Raw genomic sequence first — 25,972 nt, 5'->3', positions numbered from 1 at the left:
ATAAACATTTGGCCGGGTGCAGTGGCTCATGCCTATAATTCCAGCATTTTGAGAGGCTGAGGCAGGAGGATCGCTGGAGCCCAGGAGTTGGACGTCTCTATTTATTTTAAAAATAAGGCCAGGTGCGGTGGCTTATGCCTGTAATCCCAGAACTTTGGGAAGCTGAGGTGGGTGGATCACGAGGTCAACAGATTGAGACCATCCTGGCCAACATGGTGAAACCCTGTCTCTACTAAAAATACAAAAATTAGCTGTGCGTGGCGACACATGCCTGTAATCCCAGCTATTCTGGAGGCTGAGGCACGAGAATCGCTTGAACCCCGGAGGCGGAGGTTGCAGTGAGCTAAGATTGCGCCACTACACTGTAGCCCAGACAGCAGAGTGAAACTCCATATCAAAAAAAAAAAAAAAAGGGCATCATGGATGCAAACTTTGAAGGTGGGAGAAATCTCTCCTACATTTTGTTCTAGTGCCAACACTGAATCACCATGACCCTCATTGTTTGAAATCAAGTCTATCTCCCCAGATGTTCTACCCTGGTCAGAGCCTGCAGACTTGGAACCCTGCTTGCTGCTGCCTTCCAGGGGCTGCTATTCCAAGGCAGCCCACCTCACTTGGTTATTTGTTGGGGCATGTAGAGAGAGAGGGTATTGGATACCAGCACTAGAGGAAGACAGGACGCTTGCTCACTCAGATGAAATCATGCACGTGGAGATACTTTTGAACTGCAAAGACTATCAAGAATACGCTTATAAAGCCTCCTCTAACAGCAGGAATGAGCTCCGTAAGGAAGGCAGCTTTATTTAAACATGATTTCCAGATCCCTGCCTTGATTTTCACCACAAAAAGTTGGAGTAATTGATGGCTGTTTGTAAAACCCCTGTTCTATCTTTGGATGACAGAAGCTTTGTGCAAGTGTGTGATATATTATCAGCTGTTATTCCACCTGGCCTTCTGCAGCCTCCTCTTGAATTGCGGGCTGCTTGGTTAGTTTTCATTGCAATCCTGTCCTTTCTTCTTGTGTCCATAGAAACTACTAGTAATGCAGGGGTTTGTCCTTTCATGGGGCTTCTAAGATTCTCACAGCTCTTTTTTTTTTTTTTTTAGATGGAGTTTCGCTCTTGTTGTCCAGGCTGGAGTGCAGTGGTGCAATCTCAGCTTATTGCAACCTCCGCCTCCCAGGTTCAGGCAATTCTCCTGCCTCAGCCTCCCAAGTAGCTGGGATTACAGGCACCCTCCACCATGCCTGGCTAGTTTTGTATTTTTAGTAGAAATGGGGTTTCACCATGTTGGTCAGGCTGGTCTTGAACTCCTGACCTCAGGTGATCCGCCTGCCTTGGCCTCCCAAAGTGGCATAATAAGCCACTGCCCCTAGCCAAGGTTTCCCTTTCCGTTTGAATGCTGTTTACGATGTGTCCCACTAAGAGGGACCTTGCTCAGGATTTGGTTGTAGGGGACCAGAGACCTCATACTTTGGTAAACTGGCTGGCCAGTAATCCTGCAGAAATAGTTTGTCTCCAACATGAAAAGACATGTACTGAAAACCCAGCTTTGCTGTCAAAGAGCATGCATTAAATGTGCTTCTTTAGTGTCTTTTATTTTTTATTTATTTATATTTATTTATTTATTTGAGATGGAGTCTCGCTCTGTTGCCCAGGCTGGAGTGCGGTGGCGCTATCTCAGCTCACCGCAAGCTCCTCCTCCCGGGTTCACACTATTCTCCTGCCTCAGCCTCCCAAGTAGCTAAGACTACAGGTGCCCGCCACCACGCCTGGCTAATTTTTTGTATTTTTAGTAGAGATGAGATTTCACCATGTTAGCTAGGATGGTCTCGATCTCCTGACCTCTTGATCCGCCTGCCTCGGCCTCCCAAAGTGCTGGGATTATAGGCGTGAGCCACTGCGCCCGGCCACTTTAGTGTGTTTTAGAGTTGTATTGTATCATATCGTATGGTATCGTATTGTTGAGACGGAGTCTTGCTCTTGTTGCCCAGGCTGGAGTGCAGTGGTGCGATCTCGGCTCACTGCAACCTTGGCCTCCTGGGTTCAAGCTTTTCCTGCCACAGCCTCCTGAGTAGCTGGGATTACAGGCACATGCCACAATGCCCGGCTAATTTTTGTACTTTTAGTAGAGGTGGGGTTTTGCCATGTTGGCCACGCTGGTCTCAAACTCCTGACCTTAGGTGATCTGTCCGCCTCGGCCTCCCAAAGTGCTGGGATTACCGGCGTGAGCCACCACGCCCAGCCTATTTATTTATTTTTAAAGGCTAGTCAAGTGAAGCAGTGGGATTGGAGAAGGAACATAAAAATCTCTGATTGTGATCAACTAGCTGTAAACACCACTGCACTGGGACCAGCCAGGAAATTGGTTGAAACGTGTTAGAAAGTTGTTTTTTTTTTTTTTTTTTTTTAGACGGAGTCTCGCTCTGTCGCCCAGGCTGGAGTGCAGTGGCGCCATCGCGGCTCACTACAAGCTCCGCCTCCCGGGTTCCCGCCATTCTCCTGCCTCAGCCTCCAGAGTAGCTGGGATTACAGGCACCCACCACTATGCCCGGCTAATTTTTTGTATTTTTAGTAGAGACGGGGTTTCACCATGTTTGCCAGGACAGTCTCGATCTCCTGACTTTGTGATCCGCCCACCTCGGCCTCCCAAAGTGCTGGGATTACAGGCGTGAGCCACCGCGCCCGGCCGAGAAAGTTTCTAATGTGTTTGATGCAGTTTAATACTTCAGTGTTCTTACAGCTACTGAGGCAGTAGGTGTGGGGGTTACAAGCTGTGGCTAGTCAGACAGACCCAAGTTTGAATTCTAGATCTGATACTTAACTGACAAAGGGACTTCTTTCTAAGCCTCAGTTTCCTTGTCTGTAGAATTTGAATAATAATGGAACTTTCTCGTTGGCTTGTTAAATGAGATAATGAACAGAAGATGTGGAGGAAGTGGTCAGCAAAAGGTAGATGAGGTTGTTGTGATGATTAGTTAAATCCAGAGCTAAAAAAGACAGGGAAATGGCCGGGCGCGGTGGCTCACGCCTGTAATCCCAGCACTTTGGGAGGCTAAAGTGGGTGGATCACGAGGTCAGGAATTTTGAGACCAGCCTGGCCAACATGGTGAAACCCCGTCTCTACAAAAATACAAAAATTAGCGAGGCATGGTGGTGGCCGCCTGTAATCCCAGCTACTAGGGAGGCTGAGGCAGGAGAATGCGGGAGGCAGAGGTTGCAGTGAGCTGAGATAGCGCCACTGCACTCCAGCCTGGATGACAAAGCAAGACTCCATCTCAAAAAAAAAAAAAAAAAAGACATAAAGAGGTATACAGTGAAAAATATGTCACTCTCCCACCCCTGTCCCCTACCTCTTAGGTTTCCTACTCTGAGGCAACTAATATATGAGTATCCTCCCAGAAATTCTCTTTAACTTAAAAAACTACCTCCAAGGGAAATTCATGTTGAAGAGCACCGCGATGGGAGCATTCTCACAAATATTTTGCTAAGTATTAGGCAGAACAGTGTGATAATAAAGACAGCTGCCTGTGTGGTCTTGTTGGACCCTGAGTTTAGGGAGTATTTTGACAACATATTTAGTTCTCTGCAGCCTGAGCCAGACTGGATGAAATCTTTCTAGCTATATTAAGACACATGGGCTCAGAAAAGCAATATGATTCAGAAGCAGAATTTACAGCTTCCAAAGCAGAGAGCCCCTCTCCAGGAGCCGCCTCGCTTCATTTTCATGAAGGATATCAGGGCGGGGCGAGCCACACTGGGCTATCTGAACCGTGGACTGTGGTCTCATTCCCGGCATTCCCCATTTGCCAAGCCCACATTGCCGACATTCCCCTAGGGTTTAGATGCTTTTCTTCCCTCCTGGACAGACATACTTGGGGTCACATAGCTTTGCCTTCAGCTGCTAGAGAGTCCCAAGGACAGTGTGGAAGAGACAATGATCAGAGGCTATGTGAAAAGAGCAAGGATTCCTTCCTGCATTCTCCCCCTGGCTGCTGGAGTCCAGCTTCTGTTCTGTAAAATGTACAGATCTTATATTTATCTATGATCGACTTGACAAATTTAAACTTGTTGAAGTCCTAGGCACACCTGTTTATTGGATAAACAGGGCTATTTGTGCCACACTGTTAATAGGGTAACTATGTTTATTTATTTATTTATTTTTCGAGACAGGGTCTCACTTTGTCACCCAGGCTGGAGTCCAGTGACATGATCTCGGCTCGCTGAAACCTCCGCCTCCCGGGCTCAAATGATCCTCCTACTTTAGCCTCCCAAGTAGCTAGGACCACAGGCACCACCATGCCTGGCTAATTTTTCTACTTTTTGTAGAGACAGGGTTTCGCCATGTTGCCCAGGCTGGTCTCAAACTCCTGGGCTCAAGCGATCCTCCTACCTCAGCCTCCCAAAGTGCTGGGATTACAGGCATGAGCCACCACATCTGGCCACTATGTATTATTATAGATTTACAGAGCTTAGATATAATATATTAAATATATTTAGAGAGCTTAGAGAGTTCACTGCCTTGCCTCCGACCTTATGCCAAAAAAACAGGTACCTAATCACCGCAACTGAAAGATATTCTGCAGCCTCAGTAACACATTCCAGTATTTAACTCACGTCAAAAAGGTCCCACTTGATCTAACCTGAATTTGCTAAGCTAGAATTTGTCTGGTTTCCAATAAATAGGGAAAGCAACAGTGGTTGTCTTTCATCACAGTTTGTACTTTAAGATGTTCACTAAGCCTTTGTCCCTTTAAAACTAAATGAAAGCACGTTCAAATTCTTTCATCTTCTATTTGTGTTTAATTTCTTTCTTTCTTTCTTTTTTTTTTTTTTTTTTTTTTTGAGACGGAGTCTCACTGTGTCACCCAGGCTGGAGTGCAGTGGCATGGTCTCAGCTCACTGCAAACTCCGCCTCCCGGGTCCAAGCAATTCTCATGCCTCAGCCTCCCAAGTAGCTGGGATTACACACGCGCACCACCACACCTGGCTAATTTTCGTATTTTTAGTAGATACAGGGTTTCGCCATGTTGGCCAGGCTGATCTCAAACTCCTGGCCTCAAGTGATCCGCCCACCTCAGCCTCCAAAAGTGCTGGGATTACAGGCGTGAGCCACTGTGCCCGGCCTCTATTTGTGTTCAATTTCTAACTCCTCAGTTACACGGAGGCCTGTGGTTCAGGCCCCTCCTTTCATGGCCTCCAAACCAGGACGGAATCTGGTGAAGAATTTTCTCTGCACAGAATATCAGGAAGGATCCCTCCTGTCTTTCACTCTATTTTCACTTCCCTTGCATTTGGAGCGGCTTCCCTGATTCATCTTCAGCCTGGGTGTACGTAAGCGCAGCTATATAAAGCAAAAGGTTTTCCCCATCTGACACAGCTAAATATCAGAGAGAATGAGTAATCCGTTCTGGTTGCTAGGCAGTTCTGGTATTTATATTGATCTTAGCTCAGGATACTTATAGAGATTTAATTTTCCTAAAGACCAAATGCTCATGTTAATTTGGGAGAGGATGGAGATTTGATTTCTTGAGCAGGGCCAAAGATTCAGGAACGGGTTGATTGTTAGCCCCAGAGAAGCTGCCAGCAGAACTTGGAAGCAAGTTGCTTGATTTCTTTGGAGCTCAGAACAGAGGCAGTATTGGTAAACTTCCGGGGGCTTTGTGACTGAGTGAAGTCTCATAAAACACTCAGCTAGGCCAAAAAAGAGAAAGGATTGGAAAAGCAGAAGCATTAGAATTGATATGCAAGCACTCCTATCCTGTTTGCAAATGAAACAAGCCTCTAGAAAGCAGGAAAATGGACATTATCAATTATTTCTCACACACCTTACATTATTATAGATGAGGACTCTGAGGTTTGCAGAAGTTAGTTGAGAAATTATGCCAAGTGTCCAGCACAGGGCCCGAAAACATAGTCAGTATTCTGTACGAGTTAGTTCTCCTCCTAATTTAATTGCTTGTAATAAGAAGGGTTAAAGACAGGCTTAATAGAGTGGACATTCTAGTTGCCAATTAAAACCCAGGCCGGGCACGGTGGCTCACGCCTGTAAATCCCAGCACTTTGGGAGGCCGAGGCGGGTGGATGACGAGCTCAGGAGATGAAGACCATCCTGGCTAACACGGTGAAACCCCGTCTCTACTAAAAATACAAAAAATTAGCCGGGCGTGGTGGCAGGTGCCTGTAGTCCCAGCTATTCGGGAGGCTGAGGCAGGAGAATGGCGTGAACCTGGGAGGCGGAGCTTGCAGTGAGCTGAGATTGCGCCATTGCACTCCAGCCTGGGCGACACAGCGAGACTCCATCTCAAAAAAAAAAAAAAAAAAAAAAACCCTTAGCTGTATTGTCATATAAAACACAGCCAGTAAACAGTGTCTGTTACCACCAAAACTATTGGTTTTCATTATGCCACGTTACTTCACCTTCTCCTGTGGTCAGATTGCTCGGAGAGGGGGTTGTTCCCGGTGACAGCCTGGTTCAGGGTGCCCAGATGCCTTGGGGGTGGGGGCTTGGGGCAGGCTTGCATCCTTGCAACCAATCTTGTTCCTCTAGGTTCTAACTGGCAATTATCTTACTGTCATGATCCAGACATACAATAATAATAGCAGTAGTAGTAGTAGCTTACTTTTTTTTCATTTGAGACTGAGTCTCGCTCTGTTGCCCAGGCTGTAGTGCAACGGTGCAATCTCGGCTCACTGCAATCTCCACCTTCCGGGTTCAAGCAATTCTCCTGCCTCAGCCTCCCAAGTAGCTGGGATTACAGGTGCCTGCCACCACGCATGGCTAATTTTTGTATTTTTAGTAGAGACAGGGTTTCATCATGTTGGCCAGGCTGGTCTCGAACTCCTGCCCTCAAGTGATCCGCCCACCTCGGCCTCCTCCCAAAGTGCTGGGATTACAGGCATGAGCCACTGTGCCCAGCTGTAGCTTACATTTAAGAGCTTGCTGAGGGTTAGACTCTGAGCTAAACACACTGTGTGCATTATTTCATTTTTGCTCCTAAGACAAAATGTCCATACATTCAGGATCCTAACCAGAGAGGAAGACATCAGACTTTGCCACTGAGCAATCTAAGTCTGAAAATGTTTTAGAAGTGAAAAGAGAATAAATTCCACAACTTTCTGCCCTTGAGCCATAAAACCAAAAAAGAGTCTAGTAGAAAGGGAAGATATGTTTCATAGAAGGCAGAGAAAATGCAGCTTCTGAGTTTATTAAGTAAATGGGAAAACATTATTTCTGTTCTTTTGTAACCACAAAGAATTGAAACTTGTGGTTGGCCGGGCGCAGTGGCTCACGCATGTAATCCCAGCACTTTGGGAGGCCAAGGCCGGCGGATCACGAGGTCAGGAGATCAAGACCATCCTGGCTACAACGGTGAAACCCCGTCTCTACTAAAAATACAAAAAAATTAGCCGGGCGTGGTGGTGGGCGCCTGTAATCCCAGCTACTCGGGAGGCTGAGGCAGGAGAATGGCTTGAACCCAGGAGGCGGAGCTTACGGTGAGCCAAGATCGCGCCACTGCACTCCAGCCTGGGTGACAGAGCGAGACTCGGTCTCAAAAAAAAAAGAAAGAAAAGAAACTTGTGGTTAACAAAGATTTAGGGGTTGGCGGGGGAGGGAGAGAGCAGTCTTGTTGGGTCGTGAATTCTGTTTTGGTTCCAGGGAAATAGGGTTTCCATTACATATGGTGCAACAGGATATTTCCTCCACGCTCCATCAAACAACGTTTCCTGGCACTTCTAGTGCGGCGAGTCCGGGCAGCAAGGTCGAATCCATTTTTGGAGCCAAAGGACTGCATTCCTTTACAGTTAGTTAGTTCTACAACCACCTCTGAGGAAATGCCTGCCTGTCTCGAGTGACATCTAATGGCAACCAAGGGAAGTACCCGATTTTCCAGCCTAGGTAAGGATCACCTACAAATGCTGCACTCTTTGTCACAACAGAAGCCGCTTGATCCTTTCCCTCACTAATTACCCTGTGGTTGATGGCAACACGTAGGGCTGACAACATGAGCAAGTAGAAGTTATTCCACTTGCTAATTAAAACCGTGAAGTATGCTTTCATGTAAAATGTGAAACCACCGAGTTACATTTGAATGTTCCCAAATCCTGGCCTCGGCAGTGATCGTCCTGGGTAAGTCACTTGTCCACCAGGGGTACACCTGCTTAGCTACAGGCTGGAGTGGCATGTTTTCTCTGTAAAGGGGCCCTAAGACATTTTTTTTCTTTCTTTCTTTCTTTTTTTTTAAGACGGAGTCTCACTGCGTTGCCCAGGCTGGAGTGCAGTGGTGCGATCTCGGCTCACTGCAGCTCCTCCTCCCAGGTTCAAGTGATTCTCCTGCCTCAGCCTCCCGAGTAGCAGGGATTACAGGGGCCTGCCACCATATCCAGCTAATTTTTGTATTTTTAGTAGAGACGGGGTTTTACCATGTTGATCAGGCTGATCTCGAACTCCTGATCTTGTGATCTGCCCACTTCGGCCTCCCAAAGTGCTAGGATTACAGGTGTGAGCCACCGCTCCGGACCATTATTTTTTCTTTTCTTTTCTTTTCTTTTTTTGTGAGACAGAGTTTCATTCTTGTTGCCCAGGCTGGAGTGCAGTGGCGCCATCTCGGCTTACCGCAACCTCCGCATCCCGGGTTCAAGTGATTCTCCTGCTTCAGCCTCCCGAGTAGCTGGGATTACAGGCATGTGCCACCACACCCGGCTAATTTTGTATTTTTAGTAGAGACGGGGTTTCTCCACATTGGCGAGGCTGGTCTCGAACTCCTGACCTCAGGTGACCTGCCTGCCTTGGCCTCCCAAAGTGCTGGGATTACAGGTGTGAGCCACTGTGCCCGGCCTGCCATTATTTTTTCTATAAAGCTTTAAGGCACTGGGCACAGTGGCTCACACCTGTAATCTCAACACTTTGGGAAGCCAAGGTGGGCAGATCCCTTGAGCCCAGGAGTTCAAGACCAGTCTGGGCAACATGGAGAAACCCAGTCTCTACTAAAAATACAAAAATTAGCAGGGTGTGGTGTGGTGGTGCCCACCTGTAGTCCCAGCTACTAAGGAGGGTAAGGCAGGTGACAGAGGGAGACCCTGTCTCAAAAAAAAAATAAGAAGAATAAAATAAATAATGGTCGTAATCTACAAAGCGTTTTGAGATCATTGGGTGACTGGCAATACAGGTATGCTCAGGAGAGAACAGCTAAAAGATACAGTCTGAGAAGCTTTTAATAACTATGACAACGGTGGATCCAAGTGGAATTGTTAAGACGAAGAAAGGGAAAATTGAGAGGAGAATGTCTAAAAGGTAAAAATTAAGAAAAAAAAATTTTTTTTTTGAGATGGAGTTTCGCTCTTGTTGCCCAGGCTGGGGTGCAATGGTGCAATCTCAGCTCACCGCAACCTCCACCTCCCGGCTTCAACTGACTCTCCTGCCTCAGCCTCCCAAGTAGCTGGGATTACAGGCGTGTGCCACCATGCCTGGCTAATTTTGTATTTTTAGTTGAGACGGGGTTTCTCCATATTGGTCAAGCTGGTCTTGAACTCCCAAACTCAGATGATCTGCAGGTTTCAGCCTCCCAAAGTGCTGGGATTACAGGTGTGAGCCACCACGCCCAGTCAATTAAGAAACATTTTACAACACTTGGCCGGGTGCTGTGGCTCACGCCTATATTCCCAGCACTTTGGGAGGCCGAGGCGGGCGGATCACGAGGTCAGGAGATCGAGACCATCCTGGCTAACATGGTGAAACCCCGTCTCTACTAAAAATACAAAAAAATTAGCCAGGCGTTTTGGCGGGCGCCTGTAGTCCCAGCTACTCAGGAGGCTGAGGCAGGAGAATGGCGTGAACCTGGGAGGCGGAGCTCGCAGTGAGCCAAGATTGCACCATTGCACTCCAGCCTGGGAGACAGGGCGAGACTCCGTCTCCAAAAAAAAAAAAAAAAGGAAAAGAAAAAGAAATAATCTTTTTTTTTTTTTTTTAAGAGAAACGGGATCTCATTGTGTTGCCCAGACTGGTGTCAAATTTCTGGGCTCAAGAGATCCTCCTGCTTTGACCTCCCAAAGTGCTGGGATTACAGGTGTGAGCCACCACACCCAGCCAATACGCATTGTCTTATTTTGTTTCATTTTCATGTCAACTCTGTTTTGAGATATATTATTATTATTACTATTTTGAGATGAAGTCTCACTCTGTTGCCTAGGCTGGAGTGCATTGGCATGATCTCAGCCCACTGCAACCTCCGCCTCCTAGGTTCAAGGGATTCTCCTGCCTCAACCTCCCAAGTAGCTGAAATTACAGGCGCCGACCACCACGCCTGGCTAATTTTTTTGTATTTGTAGTAGAGACGGGGTTGCACCATGTTGGCACCATGTTGGCCAGGCTGGTGTCAAACTCCTGACCTCAAGTGATCCACCCTCCTCAGCCTCCCAAAGTGCTGGGATTACAAGCATGAGACACCGTGCCCGGCCTGTTTTGAGATATATTATTATCAACACTTTTCCAGATGAAGAAATTAAGTCACAAACAAGTGACAAGACATGTCACAGATTCCTCACTCAGCACTGGGAACCGGCTGGTTGGCACTGGAACCGTCTCTCCTACATTAAATCCTGTTCTTATTTCACTGTGTCTCTCGGGTTGGTCCTCTAGTGCTCAAGCTGTAAACCTGGATGTCGTCCTGCTTCTCACTCTCACTCACCTCTCATTTCCAACCCTGCCACCTGTGTTTTCTCCCTACAGTAATATCTCAAGTCCACCCATCCCACGGCATCTCCAATGCCTCCAACGGAGATCAAGGTGGATCTCTAATCCCCCTTCTTGGTTCAAGTCCACTTAGATAGTTGAAACAGGCTTCTAAATTTGTAATTAGGCCAAGCGCGGTGGCTCACCCTTGTAATCCCAGCACTTTGGGAGGCCGTGGTGGGTGGATCACCTGAAGTCAGGAGTTCGAGACCAGCCTGGCCAAGCTGGTGAGACCCCCGTCTGTACTAAAAATACAAAAATTAGCTGGGTATGGTGACGGGTGCCTGTAGTCCCAGCTACTCAGGAGGCTGAGGCAGGAGAATCACTTGAACCCAGGAGGCGGAGGTTGCAGTGAGCTGAGATTGTGCCATTGCACTGCAGCCTGGGCCACACAGCAAGACTCCATCTCAAAAAAAAATCGTAATTAAATCATATTTGTTTACTGGCTTGTTGCTTGTTGCTCACCTTTCCTCATGTGATTGTAAGCTCCAAGAGGGCAGGAACCCTGTCCTTTTATTTATTTATTTATTAGACAGGGTCTTACTCTGTTGCCCAGGCTGGAGTGCAGTGGTACAATTTTGGCTCACTGCAGCCTTGACTTCCAGGGCTCAGGCAGTCCTCCTACCTTGGCCTCCTGAGTAGCTGCAACTACAGGTACGCACCACCATACTTGGCTAATTTTTGTAATTTTAGTAGAGATGGGGTTTCACCATGTTGCCCAGGCTGGTCCCAAACTCTTGAGCTCAAGGGATCCACCCGCCTCGGCCTCCCAAAGTGCTGAGATTACAGGCGTGAGTCACTGCGCCCTGGCCCAACCCTGTCCTTTTTAATTCACTCATGCATCCCTAGTGCCTGGTGGTGTGCCTGGCTCATAATGCACATTCAGTATGTGTTTGTTGAATGAATGAGTGAAAGAAAATGTACTAATTCAGCAATTCCATAGTCTATTAAAATACTGATGTTGAGGGTGTGGTAGCTCATGCCTGTAATTCCAGCTACACAGGAAGCTGAGATGGGAGGATTGCAAGACCAGCCTGAGCGACATAGTAAGACCCTGTTTCTAAAAATAAAAAAAAAATGAATTAGTTGGGTGTGATGGTGCATTCTTGTAGTCCTAGCTACTCGGGAGGTTAAGGTGGGAGGATCATTTGAGCCCAGGAGTTCGAGGCTTCAGTGAGCTATGATTACACCACTGCACTCCAGCTTGGGCTACAGAGTGAGACATTGTCTCCAAAAATAAAAAATAAAATACTGATGTTTAGGCTCCAACCCCAGAGATTCTGATTTATCTGAGATGGGGCCAGATATCAATATTTTTTTAAATTTTAATATTGGCTGGTCGTGGTGCCTCACACCTGGAATCCCAGCACTTTGGGAGGCCAAGGCGGGTGTATGGCTTGAGCTCAGGAGTTCAAGACCAGCCTGGGCAATATGGCAAAACCTCATTTCTACAAAAAATACAAAATGATGAGCAAACCACGATGGCGTGACCCTGTAGTCCCAGCTACTTAGAAGCCTAAAATGGGAGGATCGCCTGAGCCCAGGAGTTCCAGGCTGCAGTGAGCCATGATTGTAGCACTAAACTCCAGCACATGCAATAGAATGAGGCCCTGTCTCAAAAACAATTCTTGGGGTTTTTTTTGGTTTTGTTTTTGAGACAGAGTTTTGCTCTTGTTGCCCAGGCTGGAGTGCAGTGATGCAATCTCGGCTCACTGCAACCTCCACCTCCTTCATTCAAGCGATTCTCCTGCCTCAGCCTCCCAAGTAGCTGGGATTATGTCACCCGCCACCATGCCCAGCTAATTTTTTGTATTTTTAGTAGAGACAGGGTTTCATCATGTTGGCCAAGCTGGTCTTGAACTCTTAACCTCAGGTGATCCACCTGCTTTGGCCTCCCAAAGTGCTGAGATTACAGGCGTTAGCCACTGCACCTGGCCATCAAAAACAAATTTTTTTTAATTTTAATATTTTTGGGATTTTTTTTTTTTTTGAGACAGAGTCTTGCTCTGTCACCCAGGCTGGAGTGCAGTGGCGCAATCTCATCTCACTGCAAGCTCCGCCTCCCAGGTTCACGCCATTCTCCTGCCTTAGCACCCCTAGCAGTTGGGACTACAGGTGCCCGCCACCATGCCCGGCTAATTTTTTGTATTTTTAGTAGAGATGAGGTTTCACCGTGTTAGCCAGGATGGTCTCGATCTCCTGACCTTGTGATCCACCCGCCTCGGCCTCCCAAAGTGCTGGGATTACAGTCTTGAGCCACCACACCCGGCCTATTTTTGGGATTTTTTTGAGACAGAGCCTTGCTGTGTCACCCAGGCCGAGTGCAGTGACACGATCTCCACTCACTGCAAACGCTGCCTCCTGGGTTCAGGAGATTCTCCTGCCTCAGCCTCCTGAGTAGCTGGGATTACAGGCATGCGCCACCATGCCTGGATATTTTTTGTATTTTTAGTAGAGATGGGGTTTCACTACATTGGCCAGGCTGGTCTCAAACTCCTGGGCTGAAGTGATCTGCCCACCTTGGCCTCCCAAAGTGCTGAGATTACAGGCACGAATCACTGTGCCTAACCAATTTTAATATTTGAAAAACTTATTATGGTATAATGTACATAAAATTTGCCATTTTAACCTTTTTAAGTATACAATTAACTGACATTAATTTAATGTCAGTTAACTTCACATCATTATGCAACCATCACCATTGTCCATCTCCAGAACTTTTTCATCATCTCACATTGAAACTCCATAGCCATTAAACGTGCCCAAATCCTCCCTTTCTGTTTTTCATTGGGCTTGGGTTTCATGCTCCAGCGCTGTACCTGCTGCCTTGCACACACATCCTCAACACTCTGAGCCCTCTCTCCTCGGGTGATATCAAGTTGGCAAAACCCTAACCTGGTTAAACCAGAATCTATGCCTGCTCCGTGTCTGCAACCAGGCCACTGAATTTGACTGGTTAAGAACAAAGGCCGGGCGTGGTGGCTCATGCTTGTAATCTCAGCACTTTGGGAGGCCAAGGCGGGGGGGATTGCCTGAGCTCAGGAGTTCGAGACCAGCCTGGGCAACGTGGTAAAACCCTGTCCCTACTAAAATACAAAAAAAAATTTAGCCGGGCGTGGTGGCATGTGCCTGTAGTCCCAGCTACTCGGGAGGCTAAGGCAGGAGAATTGCTTGAACCCGGGAGGCAGAGGTTGCAGTGAACTGAGATAGTGCTACTGCACTCCAGCCTGGCAACAGGGTGAGACTGCATCTCCCTCCTACCAAAAAAATAAAAATAAATAAAATAAAATAAAAAAGGAGAATACAACTAGGTCAGGCACAGTGGCTCATGCCTGTAATCCCAACACTTTGGGAGCCCGAGGTGGGAGGGTGACCTGAGGTCAGGAATTCGAGACCAGCCTGGCCAACATGGCGAAACCCTGTCTCTACTAGAAATACAAAAATTAGCCTGGCGTGGTGGCAGGCGTCTGTAATCGCATCTACTCAGGAGGCTGAGGCAGGAGAATTGCTTGAACCCAGGAGGCAGAGGTTGCAGTGAGCTGAGATCATGCCCCTGCACTCCAGCCTGGGCAACAGAGCAAGACCTCGTCTCAAAAAATCAAAACAAAACAAAACAAAAAAACTACAAAAAAAAAACACATACACAACTAGTTGTTGTTGTAGACATCAGGTAAAATAAAACAGAAAAAAAAAAAAAAAACCAACTAGGTTAAAAACACACTCAACTGGCCGGGCGCAGTGGCTCATGCGTGTAATCCCAGCATGTTGGGAGGCTGAGGCAGGAGAATGGCGTAAACATGGGAGGCAGAGCTTGCAATGAACCGAGATTGCACCACTGCACTCCAGTCTGGGCGACAGAGCAAGACTCCGTCTTAAAAAAATAAAAAAACCACACTCAACTAGGCTGAGCAGCCTTTTGAAATTTACAACCACCGAGGCCAGGCGCAGTGGCTCACGCCTGTAATCCCAGAACTTTGGGAGGCCGAGGCGGGTGGATCACGAGGTCAGGAGATCAAGACCATCCTGGCTAACAAGGTGAAACCCCGTCTCTACTAAAAATACAAAAATTAGCCGGGCGTGGTGGCGGGCGCCTGTAGTCCCAGCTACTCGGGAGGCTGAGGCAGGAGAATGGCATGAACCCAGGAGGCGGAGCTTGCAGTGAGCCAAGATTGTGCCACTGCACTCCAGCCTGGGCAACAGAGCAAGCCTCCGTCTCGGAAAAAAAAAAAGAAATTTACAACCATAAGTCTGAGTTGGACCTTAGCACTGCCTGCAATGTCTCCTGAATCTATTGCTCCCCCACTGTCCAAAAGGATAGTTTCAAGCCTCCTGGTCTTTTCACACCTCCTCCAGGCTTTGCCATCCCCACCACAGGTGTTCTCATTAATTCAGCTGAGAGAATGGAAGCCGTCAGAACAGAAATATCTAGAAAGATTACATCTTCCTGCCACCACTGCTACCCACCAACCTAGCTCTGTTCTCAGAAATGCTTCCTTTTTTTTTTTCTTTTTTGAGACAGGGTCTCATTCTGTTGCCCAAGCTGGAGTATAGTGGCATGATGTCAGCTCACTGCAGCCTCAAACTCCTGGGCTCAAGCAATCCTCCCACCTCAGCCTCCCAAGTAACTGGGACCACAGGTGCATGCCACCATGGCTGGCTAATTTTTTTTTTACATTTTATAGAGATGGGGTCTCACAATGTTGCCCAGGCTGGTCTTGAACTCCTGGGCTCAAGCCATCCTTCCGCCTCAGACTCCCAAAGTGCTGAGATTACAGGCATGAGCCCCAGTGCCTGGCCTGAGATGCTACTTCTTGTCCATGGAAATGTAGGAAGTGCAAACATTTTGTTCCTCAATTCTCTCCTCTCTCTCATAGCTGAGTTTCTCCTCTTCTAGATATTCCCTTCGGCACACAAAACATGCTGTAGTTGGCCCCATATTTAAAATCCCTTCCTTAGCCCTCCAACTCCCACTCTTTGCTCTGCTCTGTTTTATAGCAAAACTCTGAAAAAGAATAGCTTATCCTCGCTGCTCATTGTTCCTCTTTCTCCCATGCTTTCGTTTTTTTTTCGGAGATGGAGTCTTGCTCTGTCACCCAGGCTGGAGTGCAATGGCATGATCTCAGCTCACTGCAACCTCCGCCTCCCAGGTTCAACTGATTCTCCTGCCTCAGCCTCCCAAGTAGCTGGGATTACAGGCATGCGCCACCATGCCCGGCTAATTTTGTATTTTTAGTAGAGACAGAGTTTCTCTATGTTGGTCAGCCTGGTCTCAAACTCCTGACCTCAGGTGGTCTGCCTGCCTCCACCTCCCAAAGTGCTGGGATTACAGGTGTGAGCCACCACGCCTGGCCTGAATTTTTTTTTTTAGCGGGAGATGTTAAGGAGAAGAAAAGGGAGAATCTCATAGGGATAATATTTTGCTATTTTAAAATAAACAAGTTCTGGGGATCTAATGTACAGCGTAGGTGGTGGTGAATGTGTTAATTTGTGATAATCATTACACGACTTATACATAGATCATCACAATGTACACCTTGAATATATACAAACTTTGTCAGTGAAATATTTTTATTTTGCATTAGTTTTTAAACTTGGTGTAGAGATGGAGTCTTGTTATGTTACCCAGGCTGGAGTGCAATGGTTGTTCACAGGCATGATCATAGCACACTGCAGCCTTGAACTCCTGGACTCAAGTGATCCTCCCACTTCAGCCTCCTGAGTAGCTGGGACTACAGGCATGTGCCACCATGCATGGCTACTGAAATTTTTATTTATTTATTTATTTATTTATTTTTGAGACAGGGTCTTGATCTGTCACCCAGGCAGTGCCATGATCACAGTTCACTGCAGCCTTAACCTCCCAGGCTTAAGCAATACTCCCACCTCAGTCTCCTGAGTAGCTGGGACCACAGGTGCATGCCACCATACCCGGCTAATTTTTTTGAATTTTTGTAGAGACAAGGGCCTTGCTAGGTTGCCTAGGTTGGTCTGGAACTCTTGGCCTCAAGCAATCCTCCCACTTCAGCCTCCCAAATTGCTGGGATTACAGGCGTGAGCCACCGCTTCTGGCCTGAAATATTTTTAATTTTATAAAAACCAACGTTGGAGAGACTTCCTAGTATTAAGTTGCTAAAGTTGCTAATGCTTCTTTCTTGTAGGCGTAGGAACACAGAGGAAATTTCCACCCTTTGGATGCATCACTTGCATTTTAGCTCATGGCCAAAATGGAACTGACTTCATCTCCTTAACGGGCAGAGTGTGTGCTAAGGAAAAAGAGATGTGGAAACTGAAACACAAGGAAAGGAGAAAGGCCAGGCTCCTCTGAACTGACCCTGGCATCGCTACAGGGAGCTGTCAGGACCAGAGTCCATTTGCTTATCTGAAGTTTTTTTTTTTTCTATTTTGAGACAGAGTCTCCTTCTGTTGCCCAGGATGGAGTGTAATGGCACGATCTCAGCTCACTGCAACCTCTGACTCCCGGGTTCAAGCAATTCTCCTGCCTCAGCTTCCTGAGTAGCTGGGATTACAGGCACCTGCCACCACGCTGGGCTAATTATTTTATTTGTAGTAGAGACAGGGTTTCACCACGCTGGCCAGGCTGATCTTGAACTCCCAACCTCAGGCAATCCGCCCACCTGGGCCTCCCAAACTGCTGGAATTACAGGTGAGAGCCACCATGCCTGGCCTCTTTTTTTCTTTATTTTATTTAATTAATTTATTTATTTTGAGGTAGAGTCTCCCTCTACCGCCCAGGCTGGAGTGCAGTGGCGCGATCTTGGCTCACTGCTGCAACCTCCGCCTGCTGGGTTCAAGTGATTCTCCTGCCTCAGCCTCCTGAGTAGCTGGGATTATAGGCATGTACCACTATGCCTGGCTAATTTTTTTTGTAATTTTAGTAGAGACAGGGTTTTATCATGTTGGCCGGCTGGTCACAAACTTCTGACTTCAGGTCATCCTCCCACCTTGGCCTCCCAAAGTGCTGGGATTACAGGCGTGAGCCACCATGCCTGGCCCCCTTTGAACCATTTTCATCTCCTCTGTCTCTCTCTCACCTTTCTTTCTTTCTTTCCTTCCTTCCCTTCCTGCTTTCTTCCTTCCTTCCTTTTTTTTTTTTTTTTTTTGAGATGGAGTCTCGCTCTTTTTGCCCATGCTGGAGTGCAGTGGTGCGATCTCGGCTCACTGAAACCTCTGCCTCCGGGGTTCAAGAAATTCTCCTGCCTCAGCCTCCCCAGTAGCTGGGATTACAGCCATGTGCCACCACCCCTGGATAATTTTTGTATTTTTAGTAGGGATGGGGTTTCATCATGTCGGTCAGGCTGGTCTCCAACTCCTGATCTCAGGTGATCCACCTGCCTCGGTCTCCTAAAGTGCTGGGATTATAGGCGTGAGCCACCGTGCCCGGCCCCTTCTTTCTTTCAGCCAGAGTCTCACTTTGTTACCCAGGCTATAGTGTAGTGGTGCGATCATGGCTCACTTATCCCCAACCTCCCAGACTCAGGCAATTCTCCCACCTCAACCCCCCGAGTAGCTGGTACTACAGACACGCAACACCACACCTGGCTCATTTTTGTATTTTTTGTAGAGACGAGGTCTTGCTGTATTGCCCAGGCTGGTCTCAAAACTCCAAGGCTCAAGTGATCCACTCACCCCAGCCTCCCAAAGTGCTGGGCTTAAAGGCGTAATCGCCACACCTGGCCCGTTTACTTTTCTTCATGGTTCCTTCTGTCCTCCTGCCATGCCTAAGCCATCCAGTCATTTGGTTTTTATTGGAGTGTGCTCTTGCCAGGCGTTAGGCTAGATGTGGCGAGCCAAGAAAAACAAGACATGGTCCCTGTGCTTGAGGAGCTCATAGTCTAAAGGGGAGAGGGGCAAGTGAGTAGATGGTAGTTTCCTAGGGCTGCCATAACAAAATTCACAATTTTGAGCGTTTTAAAATCTTTAAAATCAAGTCCAAGATGAAGATGTTCGCAGGTTTGGTTTCTTCTTCTTCTCCTTCTTCTCCTTCTTCCTCTTTTTTTTTTTTTTCAAGACAGTCTTGCTCTGTTGCCCAAGCTGGAGTGCAGTGGCACGATCTTGACTCACTGCAACCTCTGCCTCCCGGGTTCAAGTGATTCTCCTGCCTCAGCCTCCTGAGTAGCTGGAACTACAGGCGCCCGCCACCGTGCCCAGATAATTTTTTGTATTTTTTTTTAGTAGAGATGGGATTTCACCATGTTAGCCAGGATGGTCTTGATCTCCTGACCTCATGATTCGCCCACCTCGGCCTCCCAAAGTGCTGGGATTACAGGCTTGAGCCACCGCCCCCGGCCCCAATCTCTTCTTCTTAAGTGGACACCAGTCAGATTGGGTTAGGATTCAGCCTAACAGCCTTTCTTTTTCTTTTCTTTCTTTCTTTTCCTTTTCTTTTTTTTTCTTTTTTTTTTTTTTTTTTTTTGAGATGGAGTCTGTCTTGTTGCCCAGACTGGAGTGCAGTGGCATGATCTCAGCTTACTGCAACCTCCACCTCTGGGGTCAAACGATTCTCCTGCCTCAGCCTCTCAAGTAGCTGAGACTACAGGCGCCTGCCACCATACCTGGCTGATTTTTTTGTATTTTTAGTGGAGACGGGGTTTCACCGGGTTAGCCAGGATGGCCTCGATCTCCTGACCTTGTGATCTGCCCACCTCAGCCTCCCAAAGTGCTGGGATTACAGGCGTGAGCCACCGTGCCCGGCCTCAATAGCCTTCTTTTAATTCAGTCACCTCTTTAAAGGTCCTAACCTCAAATACAGTCACATTCTTAGGTACTGGGGGTGGGGCTTCAACATATGGATTTTGGGGAAAAGGATACAATTCAGCCATAATACCAACATATACTGCTATGAAAAGAGCAAAGATGGAGTGTTACCAGAATACACTGGAGGAACCAGATCTTCTGGGAAGGCTTCCTGTAGGAGGTGGCTCCTGAGTTAAGTGGTGAAGGACAGACAGGAGCCAGCTAAAGATTGGGAAGGCAAGGAAAGGAGGCATTTGAGCCCAAAGGAGTAGCCTGCACAAGGTAAAAGAGTTATGGAGCTATTCGAGAAACTGTAAATAGTTCAAAAGAGTGGGGACAAAAAATTCAAAAGGAGGTTAGGCTAAGAGTTGAGGCCATTTGTAGAAGATATTTACAACTTTTTAAAAAAGGAGTTAAGGCTGGAGTTTTCATCAGGGGCCAGCCATGGAGGGACATATGGGGCATGCTGAGGAATTTGGGACCTTATCTGTGATCCGTACCCCCATTCTATTTGTGTTTTAGGAAGTCCACTCTGGTTCCAATATAGATAATGTCTTGGAGGGGACCAGTATGATTAGTTAGCAGGTTAAAGCAGCCACCCAGGAAGGATGGTGGCATGGGTCAGGTCAGGTGACAGAAATGGGGCCAGGAGGCCAGGCACAGTGGCTCCTGTAATCCCAGCACTTTGGGAGCCTGAGGTGGGAAGACTGCTTGAGCCCAGGAATTCAAGACCAACCTGGGAAACCCCATCTCTACAAAAAATACAAAAATTAGCCAGGTGTGGTGGTACACACCTGTAGTCCCAGCTATTCTCGGGGGCTTAGGTGGGAGGATCACCTGAGCCCAGGGAAGGTTGAGACTGCAGTGAGGCAAGATTGTGCCACTGCAATCCTGCCTGGGAAACAGAGTGAGACCATGAGAAAAGAAAGAAGAGAAGGAAAGAAAGAAAGAAAGAGAGAGAGAGAGGGAGGGACGGAGGGAGGGAGGAAGGAAGGAAGGAGAAAGAAAAAAGAAGGAAGGAAGAAGGGGGAAGGGAAGGAAGGAAGGAAAAGAAAGAAGGGAGGGAAGGAGGGAGGGAGGGAAGGGAGGAAGGAAGGAAGGAAGGAAAAGAAAGAGAGAAAGAAAGAAAGAGAAAGAAGAAAAAAGAAAAGAAAAAAGAGGAAGAAAGAAGGCCAGGTGCGGTGGCTCACGCCTGTAATCCCAGCACTTTGGGAGGCCGAGGCAGGTGGATCACCTGAGGTCAGGAGTTCGAGACCAGCCTGGCCAACATGGTGAAGCCCCACCTCCACTAAAAATACACAGATTAGCTGGGTGTGATGGCGGGCGCCTGTAATCCCAGCTACTTGGGAGGCTGAGGCAGGAGAATCACTTGAACCGAGGAGGCAGAGGTTATAGTGAGTCAAGATTGTGCCACTGTACTCCAGCCTGGGCAACAGAGCAGGACTCTGTCTAAAAGAGAGAGAGAGAAAGAGAGAAAGAGGGAGAGAGAAAGAGAGAAAGAGGGAGAGATAAAGAGAAAGAGAGGAAAGAAAGAAGGTAAAGAAAGGAAGAGAGAAAGAGAGAGAAAGAAAGAAAATGAAGAAAGAAAGAGAAAAAAAGAAAATGAAAGGAAAAAGAAAGGAAAGAAAGAAAAAAGAAAGAAGGAAGGAAGGAAAGAAAGAGGGAGGGAGGGAAGGCAGGAAGGAAGGAAAGAAGGAAGGAAGGAAGGAAAAGGTGGCCAGGATGTTGGAGAGGGGTCACAGCACTTGGTCTCATTGCTAAACTCAGCATCAGAGGGAACACTGGAAGCCTGAGAGGAGTACACAGCCTTGGATCACAACTTAAGTGAAGGAAATTCTAGATGAGAACTTCCAAGATCAATTGGGCAAGGGAGCATAGAATTTCAAATGCCCAATTTTAGGCTGTCACTGGCTGTTACTGGGTATCTAGTGCTTTCCCCCTAAAGAGAAGCTTGGAAATATGGGCTCAGGATGACCCTGAGAGGGTCTTGAGCCAGGTGCTAAGGGAAAGAGGCTCACTGTCAGGCCGGGTTTGTATCCAAGGTTCGGTCAATTTCAGGGCAATGTCCAGATTTTACCTGCAGGTGGCAGCCCCGTAACTCACAGAAAACAAAGCCTGAAGCCCTTTCCGACGACTAAAAACCCCCAAGGAAAACAGAGACTTTTTTGGTGATTTTGTGCATTGTGAAGCTACTGATGGAGCCGGTCTGTAATTAGCAAGTTTCGCTACAGTGACAACAGGTTTTCATACCAGGGTGTGACTTTTACTTCACAACTTGCCTCTTGTTCCAATTTCTTTCCATTATTTAACACTAGCCATGCACCTATTCAAAACACTGCTGCCTCTAATGTGTTTTTTTCTCAGTGTGGAATGATCTTGGGCAACGTTGTCTCAAGTTTCTGAGTCTGTGTCTGTGAGAAAAAAAAATTTATCAAAAAGGCAATATAACAAATGTTGACTTAAAAAAAAGTCACCCACGAGCCTACCATTTTAACACATATTATTTTTACTTTTAAATGTTCCCTTCCAAATCTGGTTCCCATGCATATACTTTTACATGAACATACTCAATGTCTGTTTTTATCAATGGTGTATTTTAAAAGGAAATACTTAACTTTTTTTTTCCTGTTCTCTTAGGCATCTACTCTTTTCTGAGATCTCACCCACTTCCTTAGCTTTAAATACCACCACAGCACAGAAAAGCAGCTACATTTCAGTCTCTGGTCAGCCTTTATTATTCATCCGTCCATCCATCCATCCATTTATTCACTGCATGCACTGTGCTGGGTACTGGGAATACAAATGTGAAAAGGTGACCCTGTCTGTTTGGGAGCTTGTAGACCACCGAGCGGGGAGGGCTGGGGGACAATGAGTGAATGATTCATGATGCAATGAGATTGGAGGTATGGTGGGAATTTTTTTTTTTTTTTTTTTGAGACAGGGTCTTGCTCTGTTGCCCAGGCTGAATGCAGTGACACGATCATGCCTCACTGTAGCCTCCATCTCCCGGGCTCAGATGATCCTACTACCTCAGCCTCCTGAGTAGCTCCCAACTAGAGGTGTTTGCCACCCTGCCCAGCTAATTTTTGCATTTTTAGTAGAGGTGGGGTTTTACCATGTTGCCCAGGTTGGTCTTGAACTCCTGGACTCAACTGATCCACCCACCTCCACCTCCTAAAGTGAGATGTGAGCCACTGTGCCTGACCTACCATGGAAATTTTGAAGAAGAAAACTGACTTGGGGACCTAGTGGAAGGGTAGAAAGCCAACTGAACAGAGGAAATTGCATGTGTAAAGATATGGACACTCAAAGGATCATGACACCTTCCGGAAACCACAAGTGGGTTAGTATTGGTGGAGTATGTGTTACTGGAGACTGAGAAGGTGGCACTGGCTGGAAGGGCCAGATCTTTAAGAGCCTTGTAAGGGACTTGAGACAGTAGATGATGAATGTCTTAGTTCCAATTGGTTTTCTACTCTGCAGCCAGAGTGACAAAATATTTGGAAGATAAAAATTTGACCATGGCCCACTCCTACTTCAGTATTCCACAGAGTCAAGTCTCAAGTCTTTAGCAATAATGAAAAAGTGGGTGCAGTGGCTCATGCCTGTAACCCCAGCACTTTAGGATGCTGAGGTGGGAGGATCAAGAGTTCAAGACCAGGCTAGCAACAAAGTCAGACTCCTCTTCTCTACAAAAAATAAAAAAATTAGTCTGGGTGCAGTGGCCTATGCCTGTAATCCCAGCACTTTGGGAGGCCGAGGTGTGTGGATCATCTGAGGTCAGGAGTTCGAGAGCAGCCTGGCCAACATGGTGATACCCCCATCTCTACTAAAAATACGAAAATTACCCAGGCGTGGTGGTGCGTGCCTGTAGTCCCAGCTATTGGGGAGGCTGAGGCAGGAGAATTGCTTCAACCTGGGAGGCAGAGGTTGCAGTGAGCCAAGATGGTGCCACTTCACTCCAGCCTGGGTGACAGAGCAAGACTCTGTCTCAAAAAAAAAAAAAAAAAAATTAGTCAGGCATGGTGATGGCGCATGCCTATGATCCCAGCTATGTGGCAGGAGGATTGTTTGAGTTCAGGAGGTTGAGGCTGCAGTGAGTTGTGATCACACCACTGTACTTCAGCCTGGGCAATACAGCAAGACCCTATCTCAAAAAAAGAGAGAGAGAGAGAGAGAGAAAAGCAAAGGCCCTTCACGAGCCTCTTCAGCTGCTTTACCCACATGCCACACATCCTTCCTTGTCCCAGCTATTGGCTTCCTTACATCCTTGCTTACTGTCTGGCCTTCACACTTGCTGTATCATTTCTTCCTCTCAGGCTAACCAGGGTCTCAGCTTAAAGCCCACTTCCTCTGCCTTCCCTCATAGTGGATGAGGTCAGGTCCCCTGCTGTATGCTTCCAAAGCCACCAGCACTATCCTGGTCAAATTCTCAGAGACATGTCTTCCCCTTCAGGCTGCAGACTCTGTGGAGGGTTGTCCTCCTCTCTAGAGAGTAGATGCTCTAGGCTGGGCGTGGTGGCTCACGCTTGTAATCTTAGCACTTTGGGAGGCCAAGGCGGGCAGATTGCCTGAGCCCAGGAGTTTGAGACCAACCTAACCAACATGATGATACCCATCTCTACTAAAAACACAAAAATTTAGCCAAGCGTGGTGGTGCATGACTGTTGTCCCAGGTACTGGGGGGCTGAGGCAGGAGGATCTCTTGCCCAGGAGGTTGAGGCTGCAGTGAGCCCTGATCGTGCCACTGCACTCCAGCCTGGGCAACAGAGTGAGACCCTGTCTCAATACATACATACATACATACATACGTACATACATACATACTTACATAACACAAAAAATTAGCTGGGCATGGCGGCATGTGCCTGTAGTTCTGGCTACTTGGGAGACTCAGATGGGAGAATTACCTGAGCCTGGGAAGTCAAGGCTGCAGTGAGCTGAGGTTGCGCCACTGCACTCCAGCCTGGGTGACAAGAGTGAGACCCTGTCTCAAAAACAAAAAAAAACAAACAAAGAGAATAGATGCTTAGTTAATGTTGGCAAAGAGAATGAATGAGTACATTAAGCTTTTCTTTTATTTATTTATTTATTTTTTTTTTTGAGATGGAGTCTGGTTCTGTCACCCAGGTTGGAGTGCAGTGGCATGATCTTTGCTTACTGCAACCTCCGCCTCCTGGGTTCAAGCAATTCTCCTGCCTCAGCCTCCCGAGTAGCTGGGGTTACAAGCATGTGCCACCACGCCCGGCTAATTTTTGCATTTTTAGTAGAGATGAGGTTTCACCATGTTGGCTAGGCTGGTCTCAAACTCCTGACTTCAAGTGATCCACCTGCCTCAGCCTCCCAAAGTGCTGGGATTATGGGAGAGAACGCTGCGTCCAGCTTGTCAAGCTTTTCAACAGCATACTGAATATTTCCACCTGCATGTCTCCTGGAATGCTGAATTCTGCATTTCCAAAAATGAGTCATCATCATGTTGGGGCTCAGAGAATGATACCCCAAAGTATGCTCCTCTGGCATTCTGAGCACTTTTGAATGAAAGGAAATTGGAAGGACTTACAAGCTGCCTCAGAACCAAGGACTTTTTAAAGTCTTGTTTCACCACCCCACATGCATGCAGGGGCTGTCTGAAAGTTCCCTTAGCTGACTGAGAAACCAAAAGAAATTCAATTGTGTACTTGCTTTGGCAGCACATATACTAAAATTGGAATGATACAGAGATTAGCATAGCCCCTGAGCAAGAAGACATGCAAATCTGTGAAGGGATCCATTAAAAAAGAAAGAAAGAAAAAGAGCAGGTGTGGTGGCTCACGCCTGTGATCCCAGCACTTTGGGAGGCCAAGGCGGGCGGATCACCTGAGGTCGGGAGTTCGAGACCAGCCTGACCAACAGGGAAAAGCCCCATCTCTGCTAAACATACAAAATTAGCCGGGCGTGGTGGTGCATGCCTGTAATGCCAGCTACTCTGGAGGCTGAGGCAGGAGCATCACTTGAACCTGGGAGGTGGAGGTTTCGGTGAGCTGAGATCACGCCATTGCACTCCAGCCTGGACAACAAGAGTGAAACTACATCTCAAAAAAAAAAAAAAGAAAAGAAAAGAAAAAAAATAGATGCGACTGTCTTAAAATTTCCTCCCTAGGACTCTCGTCAAATAACCAGGAAATATTAACTACCAGAGAAGAGAAAAGACTAAAAGTTGTCACCACATCCAAACAGACTTTTCATCTATTCTCCTGAGGACAGCTGAGATTATTTAGGAGACTTTATCTGCATAATAAGACAACCTTTATTTACAGTGAAGTCCTGCACCTCACCTTCCTGAAATTTGTCACAACCTCCAGCTCCCAGAGCTCAGAGGAACTTTGTCCCAGGCATTGTTTGGGCTCATTCCTTTTCCCTAAAAATAGTTGACTACCTTTCAGTATTGCTGACCTCCGCTCATCTCCCTCTCCTCTGCAAAGATGGTGCTCTTTAAGCTTCAGCCACC

At 47.2% G+C, this 25,972-nt stretch overlaps 1 pseudogene, besides 2 other annotated features; it reads left to right on the top strand.

The window, feature by feature from the left end:
- Window positions 7,544-7,603: an enhancer, noted in NCBI's record as "active region_12763". NCBI's record gives its function as "activates an Ori minimal core promoter by ATAC-STARR-seq in GM12878 lymphoblastoid cells {active_cell/tissue: GM12878}" and the evidence as "EXISTENCE:reporter gene assay evidence [ECO:0000049][PMID:35858748]".
- Window positions 21,466-21,760: a silencer, noted in NCBI's record as "tiled region #6144; K562 Repressive DNase unmatched - State 8:EnhW". NCBI's record gives its function as "represses a minimal TATA promoter and a strong SV40 promoter by Sharpr-MPRA in K562 cells {active_cell/tissue: K562}" and the evidence as "EXISTENCE:reporter gene assay evidence [ECO:0000049][PMID:27701403]".
- RNU6-938P (RNA, U6 small nuclear 938, pseudogene) lies at window positions 25,160-25,262 on the top strand (annotated as a pseudogene).

The sequence above is a fragment of the Homo sapiens genome, chromosome 17 (genome assembly GCF_000001405.40).
Source record: "Homo sapiens chromosome 17, GRCh38.p14 Primary Assembly".
In the NCBI taxonomy this organism is placed as follows: domain Eukaryota; kingdom Metazoa; phylum Chordata; class Mammalia; order Primates; family Hominidae; genus Homo; species Homo sapiens.
Note: the sequence above shows the minus strand (reverse complement) of the source record. Positions and strands in the feature narration are given on the sequence as shown.